This window comes from Homo sapiens, chromosome 20 (assembly GCF_000001405.40).
Source record: "Homo sapiens chromosome 20, GRCh38.p14 Primary Assembly".
NCBI lineage: Eukaryota > Metazoa > Chordata > Mammalia > Primates > Hominidae > Homo > Homo sapiens.
The window spans coordinates 44169295-44189300 of record NC_000020.11 but is presented as its reverse complement, the minus strand read 5'-3'; the positions used below and the strand labels follow the sequence as shown (position 1 = coordinate 44189300).

Sequence of the window (20006 nt, the reverse complement as noted above, 5' to 3'; positions counted from 1 at the left end):
TACCCTAGGGAGCTGCTATGGATGAACAGTGGTTAAATTCCCATAGGTAGAACACCCTGCTAAGATGTAGCAATGGCTGCCTGGCATAAACATATGATTACGGTATTGAATCTGCAGCTCAAACTCCCCTAGCTTCCAGTTTGAGATGCTCTTCCCTTGACAGCAGAGCTAGAAAGAAGTTTGTGATTCTCCAAAGACCTAGTGAGAAGTGGCGAAAGCAGAACTCCCTGGGAGTAGCCCTGAGATGTTCTTAGAAGTGAATTGTGCAAGCAGGCTGTCAGTCAGCCTGGCCAGGGCTCACACCTAACCACCCAGAGGAAACAGTTTTTATCCACTACGTGCTCCCTGTCAGCTTGGCAAACAGACGGTGACAGTGAGCCCAAGAGGCTGGGTGCCTCTACCTGGTGGTGAAACGCAGATATAGAAGGGGCTCTTGAAGGTCAGCGGCTGTGACCAAGGATGGAACCAAGTCCTAAGAACAGGTAACCCACTGGAAGGAAAGCAGGGAACACTTTTTACCCACTCCCCAAACAGGAACAAGACTTCCGCAGTGACTTCACGTGGCCTAAGTTATCATGGGGTTTGGAAATATGTCAGATAAGTTCAAAGTCAGATAATTGTCTAATGTTCTCTAGTACCTTCTGTGCTTAGTTCTCTCTTTCTCTTCTGTCCCCATCTTCACACACACACTCACACACACACACTCACACATGGAAACACACACACTCTTACCACACACACATACAAACACACACACTCTTACCACACACACTCACACAAACACACACTTACCACACACACACAAACACACACACTCTTACCACACACACTCACATACACTCACACACACTCTCTCACACTCTCACAGACACACGTTCACACACACGCACAGACACACACACACACAGATCTTCCTAGTCTTGGTGGCTCTTACCTTTCCCAGAATTCCTCTATACTCCCATTAACCTTGGGCTTAGCTGGGATTTACAATCATTAGCTCTGGCCACAGCTTCTTGCCATGGAGATTTATTTGTTCTTTTTACTGGAGTTTGGTGGGAACCTGAGTGGCTGGGAATCCACCCAGGCCCTTCTCTCCTGGCCCTGCCCCAAGAGCTTTCTGAAGTCTGGCCTCACAGGCTCCTAGGACACTAGAGCAAAAGACAGCTCAGAAAGGGAAATTTTAAAAAATCATGACCCTTGAGAATTTCTGAGAGGACCTCATTACAACACAACCCTGTGTTGACAGGAAGGGGACTCCTTTGACCTTCAGGGTCTGCTGGGTCTGCGGCAGGGGGCAGGGAGGGCGCCGAGGCATCAAGGGGTGGGGAGAGGAAGCTAGCGGGACGCCCAGTCTGTGTCTCAGGCAGAGAGGAGGGCAGGCTCCTCTCCCTTCTCTTTGCCCTTCAGGAGAAAGAGAAAGGGAATAGATGGTTGCTTCTTGCACCAAGTTCTCCCCGGCTTCCAGGGGTGGAGGGAGCTCAGGGTGGTGAGTGAGCACTGGACTGAGATTCTGTGTATCTTCCAGACCCTGTTTCCACAGCCTCCCCTCTCTTTCTGACTTCCCTCCTCTGCTTTCGGAAGCACATGTGAAACTGTCTCCATTCCTTTCTCTTTAGGTCACTGGATTCCTTGATGGGGCTGGCAGTGGTGCTGTAACCCCAGGTCCCCTTAGGGCATGTGAGTGGTGATGGGGCTGAGATCTGCCAACCTCCTCGCTCTGGGGGATTTTCAGTGTTCCAGGACTGGGTGTTCTGCTGGTCTCCCTCTCCCCTCCCTTCCCCGATTCCCCGGTGCCCTCCCTGCGCGCAGACCCAGGGGACTCTGAGAATGGAAGGGAGCTCTCATTCCCGGGAGGAAAAGACACCAGGTTCCCTGGGCTGCCTGCACTCAGTTCTCAGCCTCCTTCCTCATGCCTCCAGCCACTGCCCGGGTCTGCGGCACGGGCGCGATTTGAAATACCCCTCCTTCCCGCTTTGAAGAAGGCTGGGCTGGCTGGGGGTTATTTTGGGAGCAGCTTCTGAGATCCAATGGCCTTGTTAGGGCAACACTGACCTTTCCGTCCCAGAAGGAGGGCAGGATTGGAGAAGGGGGCGGGGCAGCGGCGGGGAGACCGACAGCCCCGCACACCCACTGGGGTGGAGAAGGGGGCCAGCGGGCTGCGGGAATTCAGCCTCCGGCGGGGGCTGCCACCGAGGGGAATTTCCCCTCTTTGAAAAGGCTGGGGACCCCTCCACCCCACCCTTTCACTGGGCTTCTTAAAGAGATCACACCGTTTTCCCTTGGACTTCTTGGAAGGCAGACTTGGGACGCTTTGTGGGGACTTTGAACCTTTCCTTCCTGCTTTCTTTCCAGCAGGCAGCCTTGCTCTGGCTGGTGGAGTCGGGGCTCCCGGGCATGGCACTGACTAGCCGACCCGGTGCTGACTTGGCGCCGGGGCTCTTTCAGCCTCTGCTGGCATCCTGCTTCCCCCCTCCTGGGGTGCAGTGGTGAGTCTGGGGGCCTGCCCCCGAGGGCACTGGAGGAGTGTTGCAGGCATCACCCACGCCCTCTGCACCCACGCTGGAGGACGGGGAGGTTGTCAGGGGCTATGATGAGATGAGTGGGGGCCGCTTCGACTTTGATGATGGAGGGGCGTACTGCGGGGGCTGGGAGGGGGGAAAGGCCCATGGGCATGGACTGTGCACAGGCCCCAAGGGCCAGGGCGAATACTCTGGCTCCTGGAACTTTGGCTTTGAGGTGGCAGGTGTCTACACCTGGCCCAGCGGAAACACCTTTGAGGGATACTGGAGCCAGGGCAAACGGCATGGGCTGGGCATAGAGACCAAGGGGCGCTGGCTCTACAAGGGCGAGTGGACACATGGCTTCAAGGGACGCTACGGAATCCGGCAGAGCTCAAGCAGCGGTGCCAAGTATGAGGGCACCTGGAACAATGGCCTGCAAGACGGCTATGGCACCGAGACCTATGCTGATGGAGGTGAGGCCAGCTGGGGGCCCGCAGAGGTGGGGTGGAGCCAGGGAGGGTGAGAAACCCTGGTGGAGGGTGGGAAAGGCGACCGGCAATTGGCACAGAATCAGATGGGCTAGGAAGTGATTTGCTGTGTGGTTTTGGGCAAGCTGCTCTACCTTTCTGAGCTTCCATTTTCTTGTAGTAAAGATGGAGCTAATAAAGGGGTTATTGAGAGGATTAGTGGCAGTGCTTAGTACAAAGCCTGCCATGTAAGTGCACACTCAACACACAATAAAATATAACTACTACCATTAGCATGTTCGGTATGCCCCAACATAAACAGCCATGGAATATACTCTAGCAGAATTAGGGTCTAGTCTTAACTTTGCCATGAAAATTATTTTCAAGCAATAGATCATGAGGAGTATTCATCCACCCACCCATCCATCCATCCACCCATCCAACTATCCACTCATCATCTATCCACACACCAATCCACCCACCCGTCCATCCATCCATTCATCCATCCACCCACCTGCCTGCCCATCCATCCATCTACCCACCCACGCATTCATGCTTCCACCCAACCATTCATCTACCCATCCAGCCATTCATACATCTACCTGCCCATCCACCCATCCATCTTTCCATCCATCCATCCATCCATCCATCCATCCATCCATCTATGATCCATCCATGGATTCTTTTTTTTTTTTTCCAAGACAAGTTCTCGTTCTGTTGCCCAGGCTGGAGTGTTGTGGCATGATCTCGGCTCTTTGCAGCCTTGATCTCCCAGGATCAAGTGGTCCACCAACCTCAGCTTCCCTAGTAATTGGGACTACAGGTGTGCACCACCATGCCTGGCTAATTTTTGTATTATTATTTTTTTTTTTGTAGAGACAGGGCTTTTCCATATTGCCCAGACTGGTCTCAAACTTCGGAGCTCAAGCAATCTGCCTGTCTCGGCCTCCCAAATTGCTGGGATTACAGGTGTGGGACACTGTGCCGGGCCTACATTCCTTTTGTGTTTCCTTTTTTAAATTTTTTAAAGATAGGTCTTGCTTTGTTGCTCAGGCTGAAGTGCGGTGGCACAATCACAGCTCACTGCAACCTTGAACTCCTGGGCTCAAGCAATCCTCCCATCTTGGCCTCCTGAGTAGCTGGAACTACAAGGCACATGCCACCAAGCCTAGCTAATTAATTGTTTTTTCTTTTTTTGTAGAGATGGGGTCTTACTATGTGGCCCAGGCTGGTCTCAAACTCCTGGGCTCAAGCAATTCTTGGACTCCGTGGCTCACGCCTGTAATCTCAGCACTTTGGGAAGCTGTGGTGGGAGGATCACTTGAGGCCAGGAGTTCAACACCAGCCTGGGCAATCTAGCAAGATCCCCATTTTTACAAAACGAAAAATCGAAAAACAAAGATAGGCATGCAGACAAACAGTTATACACATTATACACAAGTATGTACAGATACTGTTGCAGAAAGGAGAATTTAGATTTGAGGAGGTCAGGAAATACTTTAAATGGAGCTGACGCCTGAGCTTGGTCTCGACAGGACAGTTACGTTTGTGAGGGTGGGCATGGGGCAGAGAGAAGAGTGAAGACAAAGGCTCAGAAGCATGAGGGTAGCAGTGGGTTAAAGAATCAGAGAGGAGTTTTCTGTGGCAAAACAGCCCTGTGGAGTGGCAGAGCAGATGTCATTACCTAGTCCACAGGGTGTACATGGACATATCACTTAGCTAAGCCAGTTTCCTCATCTGTGAAAAGGGACACTTTAGAATATCAGTACTGCTCAAAATGTGGACGGTGGACGGGCAGCATCAGCACCATTGATCCACCAGTTAGAAATGCAAATTCAGTGGCCCACCCAGACCTTCTCATCAGAATCTCTGAGTGTGTGTCCAAACACTGCTTTCACAAGTGTATCAGGCAATTTTTATAACATCAAAGTTTAAAAAGTTGCTTTAAATTAGGGCCTAGCAAACCATAGGTCGTGGGCCGAACTAGCCTGCTGTCAGTTCTGCACAGCTTATAAGCTGAGAATGATGGAAAAAAAGAAGAAGAAGAAGAAGAAGAAGAACACTTTTTGACATGTGAAATTATTTGAAAGCCCCTACGTAACATCCTCAATTTTGCTTCTTGTCCTGCAAAACCCAAAGTATTTACTATCTGACTTCTTTTGTTTGTTTGTTTTTTGAGACAGGGTCTTACTCTGTCGCCCAGGCTGGAGTGCAGTGGCACAATCTCAGCTCACTGCAAGCTCTGCCTTCCAGGTTCAAGTGATTCTCCTACATCAGCCTCCCAAGTAGCTGGGACAGGCACCCACCACCTCACCTGGCTAATTTTTTTTTTTTTAATTTTTTGGTAGAAATGGGATTTTGCCACGTTGGCCAGGCTGGTCTTGAACTCCTGACCTCAAGTGATCCACCTGCCTTGGACTCCCAAAGTGCTGGGATTACAGGTGTGAACCATCACACCCCGCCCTACCTGACTCTTTCCAGCGAAAGTTTGCTGGCTGCAGTTTTGAATCATCACTCAAACTCTTTCTGACGCAGGATAATTCCATGGAGTCTTCCTAATGAGCTGCATTGGAAAGAGGAACTGACACAGATAACTCAAAACTGGCTAATTTTTACAAATGACATTTGGCATCAGAAGGCATTCATAGGACATTATATTCGTCACTAGTGTCTCCTCTTTTTGACAGTGGCCAGGAAGTGTGGGACTGGGGCTGGGATCAGGGTAGCTGGGGCAGGAAAAGGCATCAGCTAGCCCAGGGAGCAAGGTTTGCTGAAGCCGAGGCCCCTGGGCATGTTGAGAGCAGCCTCAGATGCAGGATAGATTTGCATCTGAGCTGCCAGTTGGTGGGTGTCTGGGTGAGGGCCTGCCCTCGAGACCGTGTTTGGAAGTTAACGAGGTCGCTGGAGTTTGTGCAGGTGCCTATGGCTGCTACCCGGCACTGGCTGGGGACTGAACAGCCCTGAGCACAGATTCTGGCTCCACAACTTGCTAGTTGGGTGACCTTGAACTGTTTTCTGAGCCTCTTGAATCTAGTGCAATTCAGTTCAGCAGATGTTTATGCCAGGCACAGTGCTAGGCACTGGAGACACAGCAGAAAGCAAGCCTCAGTTTCTCTGGCTAAAAATGGAGATAATCCTTGAGTGCTTATACAGCATCAGTTACCTATGCACAGTGGTGCACTGTAGGCATGCGTAGAATGTCTGTTCCCATCCCTCTTCTCTTCAAACCAAGGTGTGTGTATGTGTGTGTGCATGTGTGTCTGTGTGTGCACGTGTCTGTGTGTGTGTGTATTTATGTGTGCGTGTGTATGTGTGTGTTTTGGGTCTGGATGTGAGTCACAGGACACAAATCTCTGGGTCAAAATGAGCATAGGAAACCATAGGCCCATCTCCCAATGTGTCTAAAAGAGGAAAACCTATTCATTCATTCATTCATTCATGCAACCAGTACTACTGAGCACCTGCTCTGTTCCAGGAACTGCTTTACAGCAAGTTTTAGGGTGGGGGCAGCGAGCAAGACAAGGTCCTCAAGGAGCTCCCTGTCCAGTGGAAAAACATAAACTAGAAAACAAACATACATGTAATCTCCAAAAGTTACAAGTGTTATGGAAAAAACTAACAGAGGCGGAAGAGGAAGGTGTTCTTAGATGGAGTCGTCTCAGAAGGAGGATGGAGGAGCCTGTAGAGGAAGTAGGTCCCTCAGGCAGAGGGAATCCTGTTGCAAAGGCCCCGAGGCAGTGCTGGGCTTGGCGGGTTTGAAGAACAGCAAGAATGCCAGAGTGAGCGAGGGGTGCAGACATCGTGGCCTGGGCTGGATCACACAGGCTTTGCAGGTCCTGGGTTTTATCCCAGGTGTGCCCAGGAGCTCTTCAGGCCAGGTGACCAGAAGCCCTGCTGCCTTGGTTTGTCAGAGCCCCAGACTTCTCCCAGATGAGATGACCCCACATCCAGCGGCCCTGGAAACCTCACAGATTCTCTTTCCCAAGCCACACACGAGGTGTAACTCTCCAAAATTAGACGTGGCCACTGCTTCGGAAAATCTCTTTAATCAACCTGTCATCAGTCCCCTGAGGGTTTGTTAAGGATCTGCACTCACCCTTTGCCCCGACGTGGGTATCACTGAGGGGGATGTGGACAAATAAGATCCTGTGATTAGGAACGGCTGGGAGTCAGGCAGCCCTGGGTCATTCTCCTGGCCCTGCCACATTATTTAAACTCACCAAACCTTAATTTCCTTGTCTATAAAATGGACCTATCCTAATCTCTCAAAAGACTTCTCCTGGGATGAATGAGTACTTAGTAAATGGTGGTTGCTCTTATTACTATTACCTATTATTAATTCATCCAGTAAATATTTATTTAGGGACTCCGATGCAGCTAGCCCCGCGCTACACCTGCGGCGTAGGAATAAGCAGAAGGGAAACGCTCCCTGTCTTCACAGCAAATCTAACAGGAAATTGTCCTGCTGTTCTGTGTTGGGTGCTAGGCAGGGACAGACAGGGGAGTAACAAAGCCAGAGTGGGCAGCTGACCAGACGCAGGCATTCAGGGAGGCTTCCTGAAGTCAGCTGCAAGCCAAGCCCCGACATATGTGCAGGAGTGAGCCAGGTGACGAGGGCGGAGGGAGACTCCAGGACGAGAGGACAGAGCATGCAAAAGCTGGGAGGTCCAAAACTTGCCATCCAGCTAGGAGATAAAGCTGAAACTTGCATTTTATCCTCAAAGGTTCAGAAGTCTTCTTCACTGCCCTCCTTTTCTTGCAGTCAAATGCTACAAAGGAAACAGCAGTCTTCCAAACTGGAGAGGACAACGCATTAGTGGATGGTGAAGTCAATTCAGTGGGTCACGACCTGCATTTTTCAAAAGGAAAGAACAGAACAGAATAGAAAAGTATCGGAGTATTTCACAGAGAATAAGATAAAGTATTATTTTCTGAAAGATTTATTCAGTTGGCGAGATACACATATATATGCACACACACAATGTGTGAGAGTTCGTGTGTGTTTAAAAGTGTCTGCATGTATGTGTGTTTTGCAATGTAAAGTGTGTTTCTTACTGCAAGTCATGGTCCAAAAAGTTTGACACTCATTGTTCTAAGGTGACTTGACTTGGCGTCTTCTTCAAAGCCCTGTCATTCCCATCTCGCCGACCCCTCCCTGTCCTCTAGGCTTTCTCTTTGGTCTGAGGATAAGCTCTCCAGCTCTCGCATGGGAAGGGGAAGGTGGGGCTGGTGCAGGAGCTCTGGCCTCCCAAACCCTGTTGTAAGCTGCTTGGCACCCCTCCCCCTCCTATAGCCCTCATTCCTCCCCTGGCCATATATAGCAAAGCTAAAAACAGCTGCTGACTTAAAGCATCCGCACATGCCCCAGCCCTGAAAGAGTTATGTGCCTGTTGCGTGGCTGGCTGGCTGTTCCCACCGAGACACTCGCGGACTCTGGACCTCCTAGAGTCCTTAGTGCTTGTTATTTTCTGAGGTTCTTGGTCCTGGGGCCCCTGCGTTGGCCTCAGAGACCCATAAATACCCTGAAACTTCAGGCGTGATGTGAACATACGTGCAAGACTATCTGTGTTTTTCTGGGAGGCATTTTCTCACATAGTCTCAGATTCTCCAAGTCATCTCTGGCTCAAATAAGTTCCAGAACCACTGATGACTTTATTAATCCCACCCCAAAATGTGCACTGGAAGAATCAAGCCCAAAGTTGACTTTTTTCCATAAAGCTAATAAAAATAATAACAGTAAGGCCAAGGTGGGCAGATTGCTGGAGCCAGGAGTTCAAGACCAGCCTGGGCAACATGGTGAAACCCCATCTCTACAAAAAAGAAAAATACAAAAATTAGCTGGACATGGTGGCACATGCCTATAGTCCCAACTACTTGAGAGGCTAAGGTGGGAGGATCGCTTGAGCCCGGGAGGTCGAGGCTGCAGTGAGCCATGATCACGCTACTGCACTCCAGGCTATGCAACAGAATGAGACACTGTGTCAAAAAAAAATAAAATAAATATAATAATAATAAAGATAGTTAATATTTTTGGAGTGCTTACTAAGTCCCAGGCACCATTCCTAGCACTTGAGGTACTTGAGGTATGTTATGTTACTTATTTATTTATTTTTTGAGACGGAATTCCGCTCTTGTCACCCAGGCTGGGGTACAATGGCGCAATCTTGGCTCACTGTAACCTCTGCCTCCTGGATTCAAGCAATTCTCCTGCCTCAGCCTCCTCAGTAGCTGTGACTACAGGCATGTGCCACCATGCCCAGCTAACTTTTTGTTTTAGTAGAGACGGGATTTCACCATTTTGGCCAGGCTAGTCTTGAGCTCCTGACCTCAGGTGATCCCCCTGCCTTGGCCTCCCAAAGTGCTGGGATTACAGGGGTGAGCCACTGCACCCAGCCTGTTGTATTGTTTAAACCTTCACACAACAACCTCATGGAGAAGTAGTTACGGCTCCTGTTTTACATATGAGGAAACTGACATGGAGATCATGCAAGTACCTCACTCAAGGTCGTCCAGCTAATAAGAAGCAGAGATGCAATTTGATAATAATAAGTGATCATTAAACATTTTGTAATATAAATAAGTATTTTAAATAATAAATGGTAAACAATGATACAGACTAGGACATGCTTCATAATTCGTGAGACCCAGTGCAAAATGAAAATGTGGACCCCTTCTTTAAAATCATTAAGAATTTTAAGATGGGGACAACAGAGCATTAACCCAGACGCAGGGCCCTTCTGAGTGCTGGGTCCTACGAGACTGCATGGTTCCAGCACCCATGAAGCTGGCCTTGACAATAGTAATAACTGTGCCTGGCTACTAGTTAATATGCCTTTACTATGTACCAGACTCCGGCTAAAAGTCTTATGGGCACTGTATCACTTGGGTTACCTCATAACCCTCTCATCTACTACCCTAGTGGCTTGTAAACTGTTATAATTGCAATCCCACTATAAGATATGTGTTTTATTCCTTCCCTGGCAGTGAATGCAAAAAAATATGTATTTTACATTGTAATTCTATACCTATACACATCTAAAAAGAATGTAAAATTGAAACAAACCGTCATGGAACAAGATTTCCCTTCCTAGGTGCAATGCTTGCTATTTTCTCTTTTATTCTATTTTGTTGAGAGAATTAAATGAGGCCCTGATCCATGTAAAGCTCTTAGAACAGGGTATGGCATGTGTTAGTGCTTTTATTACTACTACTACTACTATTATTGTTACATGCTGAAAAGTTGAGACTTTATGTTTAATTATGACGATTGGGTCAAAAACCCAAGCTTCTGCGCTCTGGATCCAGTTTTCTTTCTTCTGCTCAAAGCTTATGACTTCAGCTAATTTTAGTCCAATTGACTCTGAACACGGGAGTTACGTGATTTTGCCAGGCTGGAGGACTGAGCAGTAAGTACCTGGTATCACATTCTCTGGGCCTGTGATACATGTTCCTTGCAGAGATAAGCTTGAAGGAACTTAACTTCCATATTTATTTATTTATTTGCATAATAGAATATCTTTTCTGTTGATCAGTTTGTCTATCTTTATGCCAATGTCATGCTGCCTTGGTTACTGTAGCTTTATATTGTCATAAAATCAGAGTAAATTCTTCAACTTTGCTCTTCCTGTTCAAAATTGGATTATTCTGGATCATTTCCATTTTAAAACCAGCTTCTTCAGCCTGGGCAACAGAGTGAGACCCTGTCTCAAAAACAAAAACAAAACAAAACAAACAAAGAAAAGAAAACCAGCCTCTTGATTTCTGAAAAAGGCCTGCTGGGATTTTGATGAAGACTGTATTAAATCTATAGATCAGTTTGAGAGAATGGACATCTTATTAGCAGTGAGGCTTCCAACCCGTGAACATGGTATATATCCCTATTTGTTTAGGTTTTCTTTAATTTCACGCAGCAATGTTTTAGAGAATTCAATGTCTTACACATCTTTTGTTAATTTTATCCCTAGATATTTTATTTTCTGTGCTATTGTAAACGGCATTTAACATTTTATTTTTTCAATTGTTCACTGCTAGTTTATAGAAATACAACTATTTTTGTATATTGACTTTGAATTCTTTTACCTTGCTCAGTTAATTTCTTAGTTCTAGTGGATCTTTTTGTTTTTGTTTTTCAGGTGAAAAGGAATCTCTTTTAACTTAAAATAGTTTGACTGTTATTGAAAATCAAGTGTAGAGGCCCTGAGAGAATCTGATATTACTAAAGGAAGACATGTGATATTTAAGCAACTGAGACTTAGAGTAGGCAGATCTGGGTTCAAATCCCAGCTGTGCCGGTTCTTAACCATATGAACCTGGGTGCACCATGTAACCTCCCTGAGCTTCTGTTTCCTTTTTTCCTTTAGGGATGTGTTAAAATCGCCCTCAGAATATGGTCGAGACAATGAAACAAGACAATGAAGCACTGAGCATCATGCCTGGCACATAGGAAATGCCAAAATATATATTCCCGTATTTCCTTCACATTCCAAAGGGTGAATTAATTCAGGATGGCCTGAACCATAGCTGTCACTGTCTTCGGGAGGATATTTGAGGACAAAAACGAGTTTTTGACTTTGGAACAGTAAATAAGACAAGACTTTGATTCGCTTAGTTCTGCCTTGAGTCCTGCCAGTGTAGATGGAATCCATGCCAGACATGATTCCATTTCGAATGTAGAATCAGCATAATTTAACCTCATCTTGGAAATCTCATGTCCCAGTTCACAGCCAGGCATCAGCGTGACAGTCAGCTGAGCTGCTGTCTTGGCAGCTTCTGGGCATTCTATGGAGACCCCAGGAGAGCACAGCAGACCCTTAGCAGAACAGAAAAGCGGACCGTATTAGTCTTTCCTGTCCACGGCCTTGTTTTCAGTGATTCATGTGCCCGATTGGCCAAATCTCTGCAGACGTGCCCCTGTCCGAGGCCAGGCTTCTGGGATTCATCGAGCTTGCTTGTTTCCGGGACCTGCTAATTCCGTGCCCAGCAGCTGTTCCCCGGAGCAGGCCCTGCCCTCCACACCCTCATGAGGAATGCCGAGTCTCATTTTCTGAGGGCCCTGGTTGAGGGTGGGGTGTGGGGCGAGGGGGACAGGGTTGCTTCCTGCCATAGACTTCCTGCCTTGGAGGGTTATCCTTGTTCTCACCTATCCCTTCCCGAGCTGAAGCCACAGAGTAGGAGAGAAGTTAGGGCTGGCACACCTCCCTCCCGTGTAACTTTCACTCCCTGCTTAAAGGGAACTGATGAGAGTTGCCTGGCACAGATCTGTGCCTGGCAGAATCCACAGAGCAGCCCAGGTGTGCTAGGAACTCCAGAGTGACCCCTGCTCCAGGCCAGGAATGAGCACCTTGTGCCTGGAGGTCTTCCTGCCACTGCTGGCTGCCCATTGCTGTGGATGGGGTAGAGCTGGAGTCACACATGGAGGCTGGACAGCTGCATGCAGCCTGCAGGGGACACTCTGGATGGCATGTACCATGTTTTTATTATTTCTATTTTTAATTAAATTGGAATCCTTTATGGATACCTTTTTTTTCTTTTTCTTTTTTTTAACAGGGTCTTGCTCTGTCACCCAGGCTGGAGTGCAATGGTACAATCACGGCTCACTGCAGCCTCGACCTCCTGGGCTCAAGTGATCCTCCCACCCCAGCCTGCAAGTACCTAGGATTACAGGCACACATCACCATGCCTGGCTAATTTTTTTGTAGAGACGGGGTTTCTCCATGTTGCCCTGGCTGGTCTCAAACTTCTGAGCCCGAGCCATCCTCCTGCCTCAGCTTCCCAAATTGCTGGGATTATAGGCATGAGTCACTGTGCCCGGCCTATGGCTACCTTTTAACAAAGTGATCAAATTTAACATCATCAGTGACAGACAAACCTACAGTATGTACCCTTGATGGGATGTACAGAGAAGGCCAGCGCTTTAAGAGGCCAAGGCAGGAGGATTGCTTGAGCCCAGGAGTTCAAGACCAGCCTGGGCAACACAGTGAGACCCTATCTCTAAAAAAAAAAAAAAAAAAAAAAGACAGATAGGATCTGACCCATTTGATGAGATTCTTTTAGCTCTTGTGTTGAGAAAAGGCTGTTTTGGGAAAATAGGTATTAGGTGAGGGGAGGTGGCATGGAGACCTGGTAGTGAGTTTATTACATTATGACTGGTGAGAAGATGGTGGTTTGCACCACTACCTTGTAGTAGCAGAGGTGGTGAGAAGACACATTTTGAAGCAAAACTTATAGACTGGATAGGATTGAGAGAAAGAGGAGTTAAAGATGGTCCCAAGGCTTTTGCCTGAACCATGGAAGGATGGTGTTGCCATGAACTGAGATGGGGTGAGGGTTTGAGGAGGAAGGGTCAGGAGTTCAGTACTGGACACCATGGGTGAGAGATGCCTGTTGGAAGTGTCCATGGGCATTGGGTTTCTGGGCAGGCCTGTGCACAGGTAGGTGGGTCTCCTTTTAGACCCTCTCCCCTTGACCTTTCTTGCCTTCTGCACACACAATCATTTCTGCTCTCCAAGGCCCTTAGGGTTGCTGAGCTGACCCAAGGCCTGGAAATGGGCCTTTTCCCCAGGCCACAGGCTCCAGGGCTGTCAGCACCCAGGAGATGCCTCCTGGTTAATCCCCTGCTTCTGGGGGTGAGCCACGGGGCATCATCTGGGGCAGCAGCCTCTGGATGTAGGGGTGGTGGAGCCTTGCGGGCTCAGGGACTTGTCATCCACCCGCTGCAACCTGACCCTGCTCCTGGGAGCTGGTCCCAAATGCCGCCAGCTCCTCCGCTTCGGGTTGTCTGTTGGTGATCCCAGGAAACCAGAGACTATGGAGATTTGATGGACAGCGGCATTTGGAAGCCATGGGAAGGGACTTTGGTGCCAGCCTTGCAGGCGAGCCAGAGAGCAAGGCCTTGGGATTGTTACGGGAAAAATGTAACGCAGTCTAAATGCTCACCGAAGGGACTGTTAATTTATGAGACCATGCGATGAAGTACAACAGGACTTTAAAAAGACAGAGGTGGACCCACCTATATTCATACAGAAAGAAATCTAAGCCATTATAAGTGAACAAAAGCCATTTGGCAAATATTTATTGAGTGCCTGCTAGGTGCTAGGTAGTGTTCTCAGAGATGGGGTCAGTGGCAGACTGGTGAACAGCTAATCTTTTAGTCTATTTGTGATCAGTATACAGTTGCAAATTGGCAGGAAAAGGCCTAGAAGGATCTAAATCATTAACAGAAGTTACCCTGGGGAGACCGGACAAAGGTGTTTTCTTTTATATACTCTTCTCTTGTTTGGATTTTTTTTGCAATGAGCATATGACTTTTAAAATTTTGTTTTCTTTTTTTTTAATTTGAGACAGGGTCTCACTCTGTTACCCAGACTGGAGTGCAGGAGGGATCTTGGCCCACCGCAACCTCCACCCCTGCACGGGGGGCTCAAGCAATCCTCCCATGTCAGCCTCCTGAGTAGCTGGGACCACAGACGTGCACCACCACAACCGGCTACTTTTTTGTAGTTTCAGTAGAGACAGGGGTTGACCAGGCTGGTCTTGAACTCCTGAGCTCAAGAGATCCACCCACCTCAGCTTCCCAAAGTGCTGGGATTACAGCCCTGAGCCACCACACCTGGCTTACTGCAACCTCCGCTTCTTGGGTTCAAGCGATTCTCCTGCCTCAGCCTCCCGAGTAGCTGGGATTACAGGCAAGCGCCACCACACCTGGCTAATTTTTGTATTTTTAGTAGAGACGGGGTTTCACCATGTTGGACAGGCTGGTCGCGAACTCCTGACCTCAAGTGATCTGCCTGCCTTGGCCTCCCAAAGTGCTGGGATTGCAGGCGTGAGCCACTGCACCTGGCCCAACTTTTGCAATTTTTAAAAAGTGCTTCCTCCATACAAACAGTATTTACATGTAGACGTAATAAGGAGCCCTCAGGATGCAAAAAGGGTTGGGGGTGGGGGTGTCTAAGCACAGTTTTCCAGAATGTAGCCTCAGAATCCTGGATGGCCTCCCTTTGTTTCTCCCTACTCTGGGTACTCAGCTTTTCAATGCAAGGCAGCATTGAAAGAGCAATTGAGGCAAGGGACCTGTTCTTCAGTCCCAGCTGAGCTACTCCTGGGCTGTGTGGCCTTGGGCAGGTCCCTCTACCTCTCTGAGCCTAAGCTTCCTTCCCCGTATAATGAAGGAATAAGACTACACTTACCCATGAAGGTAAGCAGATTTTCTCACGCACAACACTGGCTAATTGGGTGTGGCTACCTGCGGAAGTGGTGAGTGGGGACTGTAGGCTATAGTGCTACTCAGCCTCATGACCCATTAGCAATGTCAGTTGTGGACACAGGATGGGGAATAAGTGGCCTATGTGATGGATTACTTATGGGCTTGGACTAGAAGATCTTATCATCGTCTGATGAATTGTTTGTTTGTTTGTTTGTTTTGAGTCGGAGTCTCTCTCAGTCGCCCAGGCTGGAGTGCAGTGGTACGATCTCGGCTAACTGCAACCTCCGTCTCCTGGGTTCAAGCAATTCTCTGCCTCAGCCTCCTGAGTAGCTGGGATTACAGGCATGCGCCACCACGCCAGGCTAATTTTTGTGTTTTTAGTAGAGACAGGATTTTGCCATGTTGGCCAGGATGGTCTTGAACTCCTGACCTCGTGACCCACCCACCTTGGCCTCCCAAAGTGCTAGGATTACAGGTGTAAGCCACAGCACCCAGCCTTTGTTTGTTTGTTGTATGGATAAAATTAACTTATTAGGACAATGGTATTATCGTAGAGGAAGAGTTTAATAAATGTAGGGCTAGTCAAGTGGGAAGATGGGGGTTTATTATTTAAATTTATGTCTCTGAAAGTTTGGAAGGTAGCATTTTTTAAGGATAGTTTGGCGGGCAGGGGGCTAGGGAGAGGGAAATGTTGATTGGTTGGATTGGGGATGAAATTATAGGAAGTCGAAGCTGGCTTTTTTATACTGAGGCAGTTTCGGGGTGGGGGTTATAGGACTGGTTGAATTAGTTTTTTGCTATGAGTCACAGGTCTGGGTAGAATCGTCAGAATGTAAAAGTTCAAAAAATATTTTAAAGGCCAATTTTAGGTTTTGACAGTAGTGATGTTATCTATAGGAGTCGCTGGGGAGGTTACAAGTTCTGTAACCTCTGGCTATATTTCTCTGGAGTCATAATTTTATAAAGGCAGTTTTGGTCACTGAGTAAAGAGGGGGTTAGTTTCAAGAAAGGACTGTTAATTATTTTTGTCTTAAACTATTAACTCAATTTTTGAATAGTTAGTTTGGTCTATGTCCAGGCATGAGTGAAGACAGTTAGCTTGTGAGGTTAGAAGTAAGATGGAGTCAGTTATATCGATTTTTTTTACTGTTAAATATTTTTATGTCAGATTTTTTTCACTGTCATAAGTTTTATAAAAGCGGTTTTAATCTCCAAGCTCCACTCCAGCTGTGACCTTCTCAGGATTGAAATATTCTCACTTGCACCACAGTTGAGGTTGTCTATGGCTGTGTGGCACATTTGCAATAGAAACCTGAGAGCTCATATTAAATATGGGTTATTGAGCTGGGCTTGGTGGCTCCTGTCTGTGATTGCAACACTTTGGGAGGTTGAGACAGGAGGATTGCTTGAGTCCAGGAGTTCAAGAGCAGCCTGGGCAACATAGCGAGACCACATCTCTACAAAAAATAAAATTAGCCAGCATGATGGTATGCACCTGTGGTCCCAGTTACTTGGGAGGCTGAGGTGGGAGGATCACTTTAGCCCAGGAGGTTGAGGCTGCAATGAGCTGTGATTGTGCCACTGCACTCCAGCTTGGATTACAGAGTGAGACTCTGTCTCGAAACGAAACAAAACAAAACAAAACAAAAAATATTTATATATACACACATACAGGTTACTAGAGCCAGCTCCTACTGGCTCATGAGAGCTCAGGAACTTTGCAGTCATGGTGGGGGTATTTACACAGTGGAAACTGACTAATAGTACAAACTGAGGTTGGTTGGTTGGTTTGTCCTAAAGAGCTGGTTTGCTACTATATCCTGACTATTGTACTAATATGAAATGCCCCTTTTTCCTTCTCACCCCAATTTAGGGTGATCAGCCATCTCAATTTGCCTGAAACTGCCCGGTATTAGCACTGAAAGTTCCACATCCCAGGAAACCTCTCAGACATAGGCAAACTGGGATGACTGGTCACCCTACAGTCTTTTCCCATGAAGTGAAAGGAGCCAACCTTTGTTGAGAGCCCGAGATCTCTGCTAGATAAACCATGTAATACAGCAACCTTGCAAAGGAAACTTGCTATGCTCACTTTACTGAGAGGAGACAGACTCAAAGAGACCTTATTCAAAGCCTGTGCTTATTAATGCATTTGACAGTATCTGTTGAATGTCTTCCATGTGTGAGTCCCTGCATGGAGTGCTGGGGATGCTGTGGTGGGCGAGTCAGACCTGTCCCTGCCCCCAAGTGCATGTATCTTAACAGCAGAGACCGGCATCTAACAATTACTTAAATACAAAATGTGATACATATTTTGAAGGAAAAATAGAAGAATTTATGAACTGATAACAGGGAAACCTGGTCTGGTCTGATAATCAGAGAAGGCGTCCTTGAGGAAGTGATGTTTGAGCTGAGATATGCAGGATGAATAGAGGTAAACTGGGTGACAGGGGAGGCCGCACAGGCAGGCAGAAGGGACAGCAAATGCAAAGGCTTGGAGGTGGGACCTGAGCATGCTGTGTTCCAGAAAAGGCTGGAGCACAGACTCAGAGAGAGAGAGTGGGGTGGACGAGGCTGGAGAGATTGGCAAAGCCCAGATCATGAGGGTTTTGTGGGTCACAGTGAGGAGCTTGAACTTCATCCTTCTAGTAGATTCTAGGCTACCCCTTCAGACACTCCTTAGGACCAGGGACACATTCCCCGAGCTGCCAGGAGTGTTAGCAGCTGACAGATCCTGGCTGGGTATTTCTCTCCAACAAAGGGAGCTGCCTCCTTCACATCTAATGACTGTAATGACCTGGCCCCCTTGCTTTGATTTTGGGCAACGCTGAAGGGCTATACCAGCTTAAATCCCCCTGGGATCAGTTGAATATTCTGTTGCAGATGTTCAGCTTCCTCCACTGCCAAATCCTGCTTCCTTCCTTACACGTGCTCTTCCTGAGAGCACTCCCCGCTAAATCTCCCACACATCATCTCAGCTTCAGAATCTTTTCCCTAGGGATCCTGACCTGAGACACTCCTCAAGGCACTGGGAAGTTACTGCAGGGTTTTGAGATGGGGAGTAACCTGCTGAGAGTTGCATCTTATGAAGAAGATGAGTGGCAGCAGCAAAGGGTCAACTGAAGTGGGGGGCAGGGAGGATACTACTGTCATCATCGAGGGAGAAAAGGATGTGGCTTGGACTAGACAGATAGGGTGGAGACCAAGAGAATTAAGGAGTATCGCAGTGCGTCATCATGAGAGTCATTTAAATTCTTAGTTTCAGTTTTTCCAATTGTAACATCGAAATGATGATGCCTGTATCTGTTAGGATACTTTCTTATCTATTCATTTTAACAATATATTGAGCAAAATTAAAGAGATATTCAGAGTCAGGTCTATCTGAAGACCATGTGATTTCCATTATTCTTTGCTACCTCCAAAGCTGTCTTAGCCCTGGCTTACTTTCTCTGGGATGCTGGGTCCATAGTCTTTATCAAGGTGGGTTAGAGCCAAGCTATGAGTCCCTTATAATCAGGAGCATCTGTGTGGTGTCTGTGGCATGGGCATGTGTGCTGACCACAGTGAGCATTTCTGGTTCACCTGGTCTGATCTTGGTATGCTTGGACAAGAGCCATTAACCCCTGGACTCTCTGATGCTCACTCTGTATCTGCCATGCTCCATCTTAAACACTGTCTGAAATTTGTTGATGACACTTCTATGGGCCACCCAAAGATCTTATGCCAACATCTGGTACTATGTGAGAGGACTTGGAGAAGGATCAGCGATGGCTGGTAGACAAAACAGGCAAGATAAAGACAAGAGAGCTGCCATGGGAAGTAAGAAGTGATAAATGTCTTGGGCAATGAGAATTTGGAGGAAGGAAGGTGGTTCCCTGAAGGAGGTGGTTTGAAACTGGGCTATGAAGGATTTGGGAAGACAAGGCTGAGAAAGTGACTTGGAACCAGGTCATGAAGGAACTGGACTATCAGGTAAGGACTTCTATAGGCAATGGGGACTCCTAGAAAGGAGCTAGTCCTCGTTCCTTCTCTCCATCTCTGTTCAGTTCTCCAGTGTGTTAGTCTGCTTTCTGTTACTTATAACAGAATACCTGAAACTGTGTAGTTTATAAGAAACAAAATGTATTTCCTAGAGTTCTGGAGGCTAGGCAGTCCAAGGTCAAGGGGTCATATCAGGAGTGGCATTCTTACTGGTGGAGACTCTCTGCAGAGTCCCAAGGTGGCACAGGGTGTCATGTGATGAGAGGGCCGAGTGTGCTAGCTCAGATCTCTCTTCCTCTTCTTATAAAGCCACCAGCCCCACTCCCATAACCAATTAAACCATGAATCCATGAGTGGATTAATCACCTCTTAAAGGCCCCACCTCTCAATACTGCCACATTGGGGATTAAGTTTCAATTTGAGCTTTTTAGGGGGACAAACATTAAACCGTAGCACCGAGGCACACTGATCTTCCAACCTCAGATAGTTCCCTGGAAATAGGAAGGTGTCACTGGCCAGATGGGATGGTGTTCTCAGTGTCCATTCTGTATTTGGAGGCAGAATCCTGGTCTGGCCCATATGTCTCTTTGATGTCTCAAACTGGATTCTGGATCTCCCAGCTTTTCCTTGGTGTCTTAGTCAATTTTGTGTTGCTGTAAAAGAATACCTGAGGGCCAGGCGTGGTGGCTCATGCCTGTAATCCCAGCACTTTGGGAGGCCAAGGCAGGCGGATCATGAGGTCAGGAGTTCGAGACTAGCCTGGCCAATACAGTGAAAAACCCCGTCTCTACTAAAACTACAAAAAATTAGCTGGGCATGGTGGCAGGAACCTGTAGTCCCAGCTACTTGGGAGGC

At 47.6% G+C, this 20006-nt stretch overlaps 1 protein-coding gene across 3 annotated transcripts in view, besides 3 other annotated features; it reads left to right on the top strand.

Moving 5' to 3' along the window:
* JPH2 (junctophilin 2) overlaps nucleotides 2113-20006 on the top strand; it is an 80599-nt gene continuing 62705 nt past the window's right edge. Inside the window, exons 1-2 of one of the 3 annotated variants that reach the window (XM_006723833.5) lie at nucleotides 2113-2974; nucleotides 7731-18544. In XM_006723833.5, coding sequence (XP_006723896.1) covers nucleotides 2596-2974; nucleotides 7731-7795 — 444 coding nt within the window. In that variant the 5' untranslated portion in view covers nucleotides 2113-2595 and the 3' untranslated portion in view covers nucleotides 7796-18544. Of the gene's footprint in view, nucleotides 2975-7730; nucleotides 18545-20006 lie in introns of those variants that run through there. The other 2 variants (NM_175913.4, NM_020433.5) reach the window with 2 other exon arrangements.
* Nucleotides 6219-7125: an enhancer, noted in NCBI's record as "H3K4me1 hESC enhancer chr20:42810816-42811722 (GRCh37/hg19 assembly coordinates)". NCBI's record gives its function as "activates a minimal SCP1, AML or CMV promoter by ChIP-STARR-seq in naive H9 embryonic stem cells {active_cell/tissue: H9 hESC(naive)}" and the evidence as "EXISTENCE:reporter gene assay evidence [ECO:0000049][PMID:30033119]".
* Nucleotides 8032-8938: an enhancer, noted in NCBI's record as "H3K27ac hESC enhancer chr20:42809003-42809909 (GRCh37/hg19 assembly coordinates)". NCBI's record gives its function as "activates a minimal SCP1, AML or CMV promoter by ChIP-STARR-seq in naive H9 embryonic stem cells {active_cell/tissue: H9 hESC(naive)}" and the evidence as "EXISTENCE:reporter gene assay evidence [ECO:0000049][PMID:30033119]".
* Nucleotides 11420-11920: an enhancer, noted in NCBI's record as "H3K4me1 hESC enhancer chr20:42806021-42806521 (GRCh37/hg19 assembly coordinates)". NCBI's record gives its function as "activates a minimal SCP1, AML or CMV promoter by ChIP-STARR-seq in primed H9 embryonic stem cells {active_cell/tissue: H9 hESC(primed)}" and the evidence as "EXISTENCE:reporter gene assay evidence [ECO:0000049][PMID:30033119]".